The 13,919-nt window shown below is 35.7% G+C and overlaps 1 annotated feature.

Moving 5' to 3' along the window:
* Window positions 350–550: a silencer, noted in NCBI's record as "peak5930 fragment used in MPRA reporter construct". NCBI's record gives its function as "represses an SCP1 promoter by STARR-seq MPRAs in K562 erythroleukemia cells {active_cell/tissue: K562}" and the evidence as "EXISTENCE:reporter gene assay evidence [ECO:0000049][PMID:32103011]".

Consider the following 13,919-nt stretch of genomic DNA (forward strand, 5'->3'; position numbering starts at 1 on the left):
AACAAACCAGTGGGTATTATGTGTACATATATGTATTATGTTTATTATGGCACATTTGTCAGTAGAATTGTCAATAGAAACCAGCTCTGACACCATCTTGCTAGAATTAACATTGATTAAGAAAAAAAAAATCCCTCTAGCTTCTGCCTCAGCAGTTTATCAGTAATAGTCTATCAGAATAAGAGTACACATTTCTGATTTTATACTGACCTAGAGATTTTTTGGTTTTGCTTCAGTCCAACTTCAGTCATATGATTAAAGAGATATGGAAATGTGGATTGAACCCACGCATTTGTCTCAGGTCTCTCATGAATCCTGCTCAGATGATGGTAAAGGAACAACGACAACAAAAATGCATACATGTTCAAGGACAAAGAGAAGAGGAGTGGATGGAGGACCAGCTACTGACTCATCAGTCTGAAGAAAGCCGATACCTAAACCAGCAATGGGAGAAGGAAACAGCCAGAAACAAGCTGATTCATGCTGTAGAGCCCTGGGACGGCTTAGAGATTGGAGGCACCCGGTACTGTTGAAGATGAGAAAGTGTGGAGATGCTGAAAACAGAATTAGCTGAAAATCTGTATTTGCAGCAGTTAGACTCTTCCTCCCCAGGACATACACCAGGTAAATGCTCTTTCCCGATCACAGCTGAAGATTGGAAAGGTCGACCCTGACAAATTCCGGATTTGTCAGGAATTTGTCTTATACTCTAAAAATTTTAGATAGACTGCAAATAATCAATGGGTATATAAATTCCAGAACTTTTAATATCTAGGTATCTATTGTAATACAACTTTTCTTAGCTATCACTTACAAATACAACTTCAGGGTCTCACAGAAGTGAGAACAGCCTTGCTCCTGATAATCTGCTCTGGGAACTGGATGAAAACATAACCATAAACTCATAAGCCCAGAAAAGGAGCCCTGTTTTTCATAGACAAGCCACCTAGATGCTGTGTGGTCTAGTGTGTACTTCTAGTACTCCATTCTAGCCACTGATTATTTATAACACAGTAGTTACAGAGCAGTCCCTGGAATTGAATGGCTTGAGTCCAAACTTAAGCTCTGTGTTTACCTATCCCTTAAGGGATCTTGGACAAGTTATTCAACTTCCCTTAGTGCCTCAGTTTCTTTATCTAAAATAATTTTTTTTTTTTTTGAGACGGCGTCTGGCTCTGTCGCCCAGGCTGCAATGCAGTGGCGCGATCTCGGCTCGCTGCAACTTCTGCCTCCCAGGTTCAAGGAATTCTTACGCCTCAGCCTTCTGAGTAGCTGGGACTACAGGTGTACGCCACCACATCCGGCTAATTTTTATATTTTTAGTAGAGACGGGGTTTTGCCATGTTAGCCAGACTGGTCTCAAACTGCTGACCTCAGTTGATTCACCCACCTCGGCCTTCCAAAGTACTGGGATTACAGGCATGAGCCACGGTGCCCGGCCTCTTCCAAATCCTTATTGTAATATGCCTAGGACATACCTCAGTTTTCTGTATAAAAAAGAAAACCACTCAGAATTATATTGCTGTCAAAGACAGAATTTCAAGAGTTTCACTTTACAAATACTACAGATTGCTTTATTCTTTTCCACACCCATAGATTTAAATATCAAACAGAATTCTGAATGATAGGATTGCTGTATTTTTACAAATCAAAATACTAAGGTCTAGAATGCCAACTAATGAATTCAGGATGAATGATGGAGCTAGAAAGTCATAATTTTGAAACAATCATCATAGTAATAAATTTAGGCAAGAATCATCAATGGATGCTAAAACTAGTGGTAAAAGTTTAATGAGAAACAGGTAGCTATAAAGTTTCAAAATATCTTCCTATAACTACTTATTAATTAAAAAGGGAAAATAACTTCACAATGGAGAAACTTGACAGACACTAACTTAAGCAAGTGAATAAAGTTCATATCACAATAGTAGGACAAAGCCACAGTATGTGCCACCTGTTGGGATGCATTGAAAAAGATACAATGTCACAGCTGACTTATTCCTCCCAAATTTGCATAACTTGAATTAATCATGAAAAAAACATCAGATTTACTCAAATTGTAGAATATTCTACAAAATAATTGGGCAGTACTCTTTAAAATGCTGAGGTTATGTAAGACAAAGAAAGGCTGAGAAGCTGTCACAGACAAAGGGAAACTAAAGAAACATGCAAATTAAATTCAGTGCATGATCCTGGATTGAATCCTGGGCTAGGAAAAGAAAAGAGGTATAAAAGACATTATTGGAGCAATTGATGATATTTGAATACTGACTAGGGGGATTAGATAATAGTTATTGTATCAATGTAGAATTTCCTGATTTTATCAATTGTGTTGTGGTTATGAGAGATTGTTGTTGATTTTGGCATAAACATACTGAAATATTTAGGGATAAAGGGGCATGATGTCTGCAACTTACTCTCAAATAGTTGAGAAAAATATGTATGTGTATATATAGAGATAGGACAAGAAATCAAGCAGGGCAAAATGTTTAATAATTGGTGAACCTGGGCAAATGACATATAGGAGTCTTTGTAATCTTTTCATAAGTTTGAAATTACACAATATTAAAAGTTAAAAAAATGCCATGGCCAAAAGATTGCCTCTCAAATATAATCTTCTCCAGGTGGCATTAGATGATTCAGGTGACCACAGTGGATCAATTTATCCTGTTATCTCATATTTCCAAACTTAAAGAAACCTTGCTCAGTGCTTGAGAAAACTTGCTCAAACTATGCTCAGTGCTATGAACAAAGGCAAATAGCTCTAGACTCCCAGATTCCACTAAGTCTGTAAGTATGAAGGTAGGGAACCAATTTTTTTTTTAAATTATTCTTCCAATAAAACTTCTTGCAAGTAGTTTTAAGTAATATCTTCTATACAACAATGTGGCAGAATCTGCTATTTGCCACTCCAATATTCATTCTTTAACTCTTCCTTGGTAATGACCACCCTGATTTTTAGGTAGAGATAAGTTTGCTCACAATGAAGGCTATATTTGACAGCTTCCCTTGCAGCTAGGTGTGGCTAAATTGCTAAATTCTGACAAAGGAGACCAAACAGAAAAGTAACATGGCAACTTCCAAGACACCTCCTTAAAAGACATCAGGCACAAGCCCTTTTACCTTTCTTTTTTTCTGCTACTATATTATCACCTGGAGTATAAATGTGATGCCTGGATCTCTAGCAGTTATCTTGGGCAACACAGGCAAGGTCCATACCCTAGGGATGGTGAAGCAGAGAGACAGAAGAACTTGATTAAAAAAGAGCTATTATACCAACCCTGGAATGTCTACCTGGTAGACTATTTTATATGAGAGAAAAATTAACTTTTATTTTGTATAAGTCACCATGAATTTGAGTTTCTATTATATATAACAAAACAGATGGTTTTTCAAGAAAAAAAAGGGGAGGACTAAGGTCTCACTTAGACTCCTAACCCCAATGACATTTTTGGGAGTTGGTTCACTCCATGAGGGTGGAGGCCATCAATGTATCTTCCTAGAACCTAGCAGTCTTCACATAGTTTCAGTTGATGAACATTTTTAGAATGAACAAAGTTTCTTTTTGGAAAAACAATTTCAAAATGTTACCTGCAACAATATTAGAAATTCATCTCTGTTTGGTACTGTTTTGAGAATTATAAATTGCTACAAAGAGCAAATTCAATATATTTCTTTCCCTATAAATCTTTGGTCAAAAACAATATAATCACTATCTGATCTTCTAACTGGTTGAAAGTATAAAGACAATTTTTTATTATATCATTGCTTCTATAGAACTCTTCATTAATAGATCATAAAGTAAGGTGAATCATAAAGTACAGGCTGAGTTATACCACAATAACAACTCCAAAATCTCACTGTTTAAAACAAGAAAGGTTTACTTCAAGTGAGCAGGAACCTCTGTTCCCTATCTTCCATTTTCAGGCCAATGGAATCTCTTCCCTCAAGGAAGAAGAGAACATGACAAATTGCCCATTGGGTCTTAAGATTTCCATTCAGAAATGAGACACATCACTTCCATTCATATTTCATTGATTGACGTCACATGGCCTGTTTAAAACAACAAAGGTTTAACTTCAGGTGAGCAGGAAGCTCTGTTCCATATCTTCCATGTTCAGGCCAGTGGAATCTTTTCCTTCAAGAAGGAAGAGAACATGACAACTTGCCCACTGGTTCTTAAGGTTTCCATTGAGAAATCAGACACATCACTTCCACTCATATTTCATTGACTAAAGTCACATGGTCATATCTAACTTCAAGGGGCAGACAGTGAAATCCTACCATGTACTCAGCATGAATACCCCAGAATTACTGGATAGCACAACCTACCAGATATAGTATCCCACAAGTAATTCTGAGCTCATATCATCTCACTTCAGTCTTTAAAATTTGCTTTAATACAGTTTTAGAGGTAAGAAAGATTTGGTTGGCTAATAGAATGAGCCAGCTATATTCACTTTGATTATGGAAAGTGAAATTTTCCTGAGAAGCTGGAGAATTAGATCTAACTCTCCTAATCTGTCAGTATTATCTTGTAACTAGCTGATGATAAAAAACAAATCAACATGACTTTTCAAAGTCTTATCATTGTAGTCTGACTATGTTACCTTAGATCAGTGATTTAAGAAGTATGCGGAATTCTAGGGGAATCTCCAGAAAATGCAGTTAAGAGGTCCACAAAATCCTTCCTTTTCCAAACTCGTCTGTTTGACACTGTGTTTTCTCCATGTACTTCAACCAAGACAACATACGGTAACAAACAATGTAGAGCAGACATGAGAAACCACTCACCTCATATTAGGCAAAAATTTATAGAGATTTTCAAAGAAATTAGTTGTGGGAAAATACAGGAATTTAAAAAATACATATTTTATGTTAATATGCAAGAGATGTTTGTTATTTTAAAGGAATATATATATATATACAAATTTTTGTTTTAATTTTAATACAGTAAATATTGATAGATATAATCCACATAAACCTGAGGTTTGTGGGGTCCTTAATAATTTTTGTTTTAGCTTTTTGTTTTGAACTAATTATCTTCAGTAACTTGTAAGAATTTAAAGGGTTCCCAAGACCAAAAGTTTGAGGACCACTATCTTAGATAACACCTTGCTTGGTAAATTTCAACTTAGCCTTTCAAAGGAGATAACTACTAAATAACATTTTCTCTGGAAGATTTTAAGGACCAATGATATAATTATAATAACTTGTAGTTATGTACACAAAGAACATGGCATTGTGAAAAACCCATCTAATTGCTGGGAAAGGTAGTTTGTCCTATCTATGCTGAAACACGAAATCTACTGCATATTTGGATTGCAAGAGAGTATGTCCAGTTAATCCATTGAATAATATCTGAGACCAGGAGCTAGTCACTGAATAAGGATCCATGCACCTGCATATGACTAAAACTTACCTAAAAGAGGCTAAAATTAAAATAAGCAAATTTATATTCTCATATAACAAGAAGTCCAGATGTTGGATATTTCCACAGATGGCTATTCCGTAGGTGTGACAGCATCAAAATACTCCCAGGATCTTTACATCCTTCCAATCTGCTAGTTTCAGCAACTTGGCTCATGTAAACTGGCTCCTTCCATGAGCTCCAAATCCTGACATCAAAAGTAAATGCAACATGGGGTAGTTGTACTTCTCGAGTGGAGTCTTTCTCTTAGGCTGTAAGAAAGACTTTTCCCAGAAGCATGGTGCACCTTAACACTGGCTCCTTTTCAAGTATCCTTGGTCAGTATTGTATCATATGACTGCTCAAATTAATCACTGGTAAGGGAAATGAGGTTATCGTGATTGGCTTAGACAAATCATGATTCTCTCTTTGTGGCTGAGGAAGGACCCAGCTTTTCCAAAAGCACTCCACTTCCTGATATCTGCACAAAATTGCTGTTCTTTTAGTAAGAATAAGGGTGGGGTGGGGAGTAGCTATGGGATGAGTAATCAGTAAAGTCTTTGACAATTACAAAAACTGGAATGTCTCATTGCAATAACTAAGACTATCATGGGATAATAAAAATTCGGAGTTTTATGAAGATCATATTTGCCCATTTTCCTTCGGTCAATTAATATAATAAATGCCTAACAGCATTAAAAATTTGTACTTTCATTTTTTAAAATCTTCATTGGTAGCTAATTTTAGTTTGTAGTTGTCTGTAAGTTCTCATACATATTTCATTCAGTAATAACGAAAAGTCAGTTCTATTCAATCTCATACTACTCCATTTTTTTTCCTTACTTAAATTATCACACACTTGTCATTGCTGACATTATAGTATCCTACCATTTAAACTTAATACTTCCAGTTAAAATTTGTCTCTCTCATTAAACTGGGGTCATTTATAGATTTTAAAAATAAAAATTTCATTCTATAAGCCAAGTAATTATCTAATCTGAGTAATTAATAAAAGTTAGAAACAAATACAGAAATATATTATCCAATATGGCCTTCTTTCTCTGGAACAACCCACATACCAGCTGTCTGCTCTACTACTAATAGTATGAGCCAACTAGGGCTGGGAGATATTTTCTGCTATGATTTTGTTAATTTACAGCTAATTTAGAAAATGATCCTCTGTCATTTTTCCTTCAGGTCTCAGTTTAAATGTCATCTCTTCTGGGGCCTTCTCTGACCACCTTGTTTAAAAGATGCCTCCTGCAATTGTTTTCTATTAAATCACTCTTCTAATTCTGTCTATAGAAGTCTTGCAAACCTGCAATTACCTCCTTAATGTATTTGTTTATTTTCTATTTCCCAACTAGAATGTAAACACTGTGAGAGCTGGAAAACATGTTAGTCTTATTCTATACTGTATGCTCAAAGCTTAATCTCGGGCCTGGCTCATAATGACTGATCAATAAATATTTGTTAATTGAATTTAGTTTTCTTTCCTGAATCACCTCTCATTGAAACATTTTATGTTCTATTCTGAAAGAAATTTTAAAATAAATTTTGATGTTTGTCATATTTTGGCCAATGATATTTAATAATACAAGATATTAAATTTGTGTAGTTAATGAACATTTAACATTAAGTGTCAAATGTGGTAAAACATTGTAAAAAATAGTTTATAATGGAACAGATAAATCTCTTTTTATGTCTGATGGTACCTGTTTATACACTGTATTTTTATTTTACATAATTTATTAGGTATGATAAATTAATCTATTTGGGGTTAACACAGAAATTTTAAAATGTCTAGAAGTGAAGCCATCAAGAACCCACGATAGTTTATTTGGCCAAAGCTAAACTTTGCAAATATTTTGTGTCTTCAATATAGTTTGAATTGAAACCACTTCTCATGAGCTCTCATTGTGGTTTTATTAAATATTCAGTTGTAACTAATAATAAGAAACATGAACTATTTTAAGGCATTAAGTATTTTACTAAGTAAATACATTAACTACTTTATTTCTGTTATTAACTACATAGGAAAGTTACATGAGAAGCACAGTGAAATCTGGCTGTTTTCAGTGGAGATATTCCCATGTATGAGTGTGATTAGCACAGACTTGCTAAATCTCTCTCTGAGCCATCTGTGAGCACCTTCCTGGTTTAAAACAACACACACTAGCTCTGCTCAGTTCTAAGTCAGTTTTTACCACAACTGTTATCTTTATCTTAAACCTGGGAAGATTCTCAAATGCCTGAAGCTTGGAAATGCCACCTTTCACCAAGGATCTGAACCTTACTTAAACTGAAAAAAGAATTATATTAAATCAACTATCTCAAATGAGATTTTATTGGCATGAAGTGTTGACCAAAAAAGTTCTAATCCATTTGTAAGGAAAAAAAATAGAGAATATTCAGCTTACTAGTTAGTTTAGGACATATTCATGTGTTTATTGTTCTAACAATCCTAAATGAAATTCCTAGTCACTTGAGCTCCCTTGCTTCTCTTTAGCTCAACTTCAAGTTACAGTGACACAAACCTCTTTTTATAGTGGCCCCAGTGTGAGGTCCTGGGTTTTGATGAATCAGCAATAGTGGAGACTTTTCTGGAAAAGACTTGGCAGTAAATAACCCACTCCATAGCTTGACAGCCTAGGTCCTTACTGCAGACCTGGTGCAATTTTTTCTAAAGAACTTGTTCTGATCACCACGAATCAGAGCATTCAAGTGGAATTTTCAGAATACTGCACTGTAGCAAAACTACCTAGAACTGCCCAGAGAACTGTAAACACAATGTAAGTTTTAAAACAAATTCTAAAGTTATAAGAGATATTATGACAATCACTTTCTCTACCAAAAATATGTGTTTTAAAAACCTGCAAATCAGGAAAATTTAAAGTAGGCTTGATTTTGACTGTGGTGTTTAGTTCTACAAGCCCAGACTGAGTGCAGTTAAGAATCAATCCTTCATTGTCATATCTAAGGTTTTTATACTGAACTGCACTTTGCATATGATAAAGATCACCCAGTTTAACTGTACAAGGAATGACATTTAGTAAATTTACAGAATTGTGCATCCATCAACACAATCCAATTTTAGAAGATTTCCATCACCCCAAAAAGATCCCCCATACGCATTATGTTTAGGGTTTTCTATTTAATTTTTCCACAGCTTTTCTGTGTGAAAACATAATGCCATAATTGAAATAGAATACCAAAAATGTTAATAAATTTGACAGCTGGCATTCAGACACAACTAAATAATTTGCCTGGAAAACAGCAAATTTTGTATGTACAACTTTTTAAAAAGGAGTCCAGCTAATTAAGCAGATACTAGTTTTCCTTAAATAATATTCATAAGATCATGAATAAGAGGAGATGTGTATGAACTGAGACTAGCTCTGCTCTTGTTATAAGCAAATCTGACATTACTTAGGAGGCACATGGTGGCAACAGCAGCTGTGAGTCATTATATTCCTCTCATTCCTTCACACTTCTGTTTTTCACCTTACTTTCTAAGTGGAGAATCAGTCATATTTGGGCTGAGGTCATCAAAAAGGGTGGGGAAACACCAGGTTACATTCAAAGTGGGAGCCCAGTTCAAGCTCCAATTTTTCTTTTAATTGGTTACTGTTCTCTGGCTATACAGAAGCTCATATGAATGTTTTAAATGTGATCTTGACTTCTCTTTTTCCTCCTCAGGGACCATCATTTAGCACCCTTTCGCCAGAGTATACTTCCTTTCTCACATCTTATAGTAATGCAAAGAGCCAAAGATTAAAAAATAAATAAATAAATAAATAATAAATTAAAAAATAAAAATAAAAAAAGAGTGTTAGGCCCGCAAGCCCCAGGTATAAGGTAAATTTATAATATTTTCTCTTAGTAAAATACAAAGTTTGGTGGCACAGATGTCTGTTAGAAGGCAGCTACACAAAAATATAAGAATTTTGTCAGTTTTGTGCATTTAACATATCCCAAGATCCTAAAATCGTGCCTGGCACATAGTAGGTATTCAATAGTACTTGTTAAATAAATGAAGTTTTAAAAAATGCTTGTCCTAATGGACTATTAAGTTTGATCCACCTCATTGGTGTGTTATGAAAAGTGTGTTGATATGTTAACATAAAATACATTTTAAAAATGTACAAGTGGAACTCAGTATACAATTCTAAAGTAAATTTAAACTGTAAAATGAGTTAAGTTATACCTCAGATTATGTTATTTTATGATTCTGTATCTCTTTATATTTATTTTATAGAGCTTTACGTCCTCATATTGCATACAGCTTGGATAAGAAGTACATATCTATGTTCTAAAATAAATATAATGTCCCTGAAAATTGTACTGGTTTTCTCTTCTTTAGGCACAGCTTATAGTTAATATCCTCCTTAATGATTTAGCTAAGAAATTCCATCTTTGATGGAAATGATAAACATGCAAAAAAAAAAAAACTAAAAGAAAAATAGCATATTGATCTTGGCCTCATGAAAATCATCTTCAAGATCTGTATAAATAGGTAGCATACATTAAATTAACGTATAAATGGTAGGTTTAGGATCTTTCTAATAATTCATATTTCTGTTTCTCAGTTTACTTAAATTTGGTCAAGTAAAAATCTTGCCATATTTTTATTAATTGGTTCTCCTTTTTTTCTAGTAATGCATTTCTTTTCACAATTTTAAGACAACCGATATTTTCTCAGATTCAAGTCTCATCACTACAGTAGATCCCTCCTTCTCCATGCCAGAACTAGTCACCTTAATTAAACTTGTTTCCTGGGAGTTCCCAGACCTGGATTATTGTCGTCACTGATTCACACACTCCATTCTTATGAGGATTTTCTTCAGGGCTATTGATCTCATTTTTTCCTTCCTCTTTGGGGACCATGAACCATCATCCAGCCCCTGTCTCTTCAGAAGCATCTCCTCTCCTGCCTCCTCTCCTCATTTTCTAAACATACTTTTGTCTGCACCCTAAAACCAAGATCCCTTTATGGACCCAGCACTCTCCCTCTATTTTTCCTCTCAAAAGAGTAGCTCAACTCACTGTTTTGATTTCTTCTTCACCTCTAATCTACAACTCAACTTGCTGTAAAAAAAAAAAAAAAAAAAAAAAAAAGGTTCTGTCCCTATACAGTCAAACGATATTGTTCTAAATTCACTTATAACCCCTTAAAGCGGTTATATTGCCAAATCCAATTAACACTTGTCCTTATCTTATGTGACCTCTTGGTAGCCCTGACTGCGTTGGACCTCTTCTGCCTTATTGGAGTTCTTTCATCCCATGTTTCCACCACACCTGCTTTACTAAAGCACTTTCGCACCTTGCTTTACTGAAACACTCTCTTTCTCTTCTTCTTATTCCTCTTCTTCCTCTTCTTCTTTTCTTCTTCCTCTTCTTCCTCTTCCTCTTCTTCTTCCTCTTCTTCTTCTTCTCCTCCTCCTCCTTTCCTCTTTTCTCTCTTTCTCCTCTTTCTCCTCTCTTTCTCTCCTCCTTCCTTCCCTCCTTCCTTCTCTCTCTCTCTTTCTCTCTTTCTTTCCTTCCAGTCTTGTTTTGTCACCCCACTGCAGCCCCAACTTCCCAGGCTCAAGTGATCCTCTGGCCTCAGCTCCCTGAGTAGCTTGGACTACAGGCATGAACCACCATGCCTGGCTAATTTTTTTAATTTTGTTTTGTGGAGATGAGCTCTCATTATGTTGCCCAGGTTGGTCTTGAACTCCTGAGCTCAAGCAATCCTCCCACCTTGGTGTCCTAAAGTGCGAGGATTACAGGAGTGATACACTGTGCCTGGCCTACTGATGCACTTTCTACCAGCTTCACCACTCCTTTTCAGTGAGATGGATTTTTTTGTTTGTTTGTTTGTTTGTTTGTTTTATTTTGCATATCCTCTCACCTTACAATCAAATGTTGATCTCTAGGCTACTGTCCTTGGTCCTGGACTCAAGCTACAAAATTTCCCTGGGAAAACGAATCAATTCCTATTGTTTTAATCGCCATTTTTTTTTTTGCTGATGACTCTCACATTTAAATCTTTAGCCTTAAATTATCTACTAAACTCCAGACCTCATGTCTCTGGTTGTCCCCTGAATATCTTCTCCACCTACATGTTACTGAGCCTTCCAAAGTCTCAGATCTATTCTGAGTTCTTTTCCTTGGGGTGACTGTATTTTACATGTAGGAAGGAAGACAAACTGAATATTTAGTAGCCAGAAGGGCAGATTATGGCACTCTTATATGTTGTTTATTTCTGTTTCTCCACTTTCTGAACACATGGTAGAATTGCACTTCCTTGCTTTTTGAAATTGGTGTGTCATGTGACTTGTTTTAGCCAGTGAAATGTGTGTCCCTTCTAGGCAGAAGCCTCTGAAACCTGGTAGGCAAATAATTTTATTCTTTTCTCCTTGTACATTCCAGCGGGAAGAGGCTCCATCAGCTTACATCCTTAAGTGAAGATGATGTAGAGCCGACCTCACACCAACCAAAAATGGATGTAGGGCATGAGTGAAAAATAAGCCCTTGCTATTTCAAGCCTGTGAGATTTTTGCATTATTTGTTACCACCAAATAGCCCAGCCCATCCTGACTGATTTAAGATTCAAAACCAAACTCATTATTTTTTTCCTGCACATCATTAACAGAATAAAACAACATAAGAGGATCTCACCTGCTCTTTATCCTATGCTCCCTGTTTTCTATGTCTGTGTTTGAGCCATCACCATTTACTCACTTAATCGGGCTAGAAACCTGGGAATATATCCAGACTCCACTTTCAAGTCCTCCTACATTTTATGACTCAAGTAGTTCCTCAGGTTCTATTTCCTAAGTATCCTTCAAATCTATCCCTTCATCTCCATTCTTAGTGCACATCTTACTATCTCTTGCCTAGACGATTACAGTGGCCTTTTAAATGGACTCCCTATCTCTAGCCTTTCCTAAATCCATTTTCCATATGGCTGCCTGAGTGATTTTTATAAAATGCCATTCCACTTTCCTGCTTAAAATCTTTCATCAGTGCTTACAGAATAAAGTGAAAATGACTTAGCATAGAATTTTAGGCTCTTGATAGTCCAAACCCCTTCTATCTCTACAGCATCTCTGCTCCAGAGATATCCAGTCCCTTTTCTTCTCACTCCTGAACAACCCAGACAATACCATTCTTTGATTAATCCTTCCAAAAATATCAACTTAGATTTGATTTACTCTAAGAAGGCTTTCCTGGTTATCCCAAACAGACTTCTTAAGTTCCTCCCACCTATCTGCCTAAAATGCGCTTTTACTATTGAATGTGTCACTTTAAATTTTTTTTTTTTTTTTTTTTTTTGCTTATGTGTTTATTGTAGTGGTCAGAGTTTGGAATAATTGTAACCTTCTCAAGGATAGGAGGAATACCTTACTGTCCTTATCTGGAAAGCACAGTAGTTAGCACATTACAGCCACCTCAAAAAGATTTTTTTTTATTTTTTATTTTCATTTTAAGTTCTGTGGTACATGTGCAGGATGTGCAGGTTTGTTACATAGGTAAACATGTGCCATGGTGGTTTGCTGCACCTATCAACCTATCACCTAGGTATTAAGCCTAGCATGCATTAGCTATTTTTCCTAATCCTCTCTCTCCTCCCACCCCACCCACTGACATGCCCAGTGTGTGTTTTTCCCCTCCCTGTGTCCAGATGTTCTCATTATTCAGCTCCCACTTATAAGTGAGAACATGCAGTGTTTGGTTTTATGTTCCTGCGTTAGTTTGCTGAGGATAACGGCTTCCAGCTCCATCCACGTCCTTGGAAAGGACATGATCTTGTTCCTTTTTATGGCTGCATAGTATTTCGTGTTGTGTATGTACCACATTTTCTTTATCCAGTCTATTACTGATGGGCATTTGAGTTGAATCCATATCTTTGCTATCGCAAATAGTGCTGCAATGAACATACGCATACAAACATTATGCATGCCATCTTTGTAAAATAACGATTGATATTCCTTTGCATATATCCCTAGTAATGGGATTGCTAGGTCAAATGGTACTTCTGGTTCTAGGTCTTTGAGGAATCACCACACCATCTTCCACAATGATTTAACTAGTTTACATTATGGAACTGAAATAATAAGCCATTTTATCAGAAAGGTTAACATCTGTTAAGGCCTTATATTTTTTTACGTAGCTTAAAATCTGTTGAAGGCTTACTATATGCCAGGCACTGCAAAACGCATTTTATAAGCTTTATTTTATTTAGCCTAACAATAACTGTAGGGGATGCAGACATGCATTAGGTATCTATCCTTACTGATTTTCTTATCAGAAGCAACCCAAATCTCACCTTCCTGGCAGGTAGATCATTATAGGCTCTTAGCTACTATTAATAATTAAATTATTTTCCTATGCAGTAGCTGAATGAATAGCAGAGACAACTATAGTTTACAATCAAGATTTTTGTCTAAACTTTTAAGAGAAAGTCCAGTTTTATTATTTAAAACATTTTGAAAAAAATTATAACATTTATATATCATCTTTT

Source organism: Homo sapiens, chromosome 6, assembly GCF_000001405.40.
Source record: "Homo sapiens chromosome 6, GRCh38.p14 Primary Assembly".
Lineage (NCBI taxonomy): Eukaryota > Metazoa > Chordata > Mammalia > Primates > Hominidae > Homo > Homo sapiens.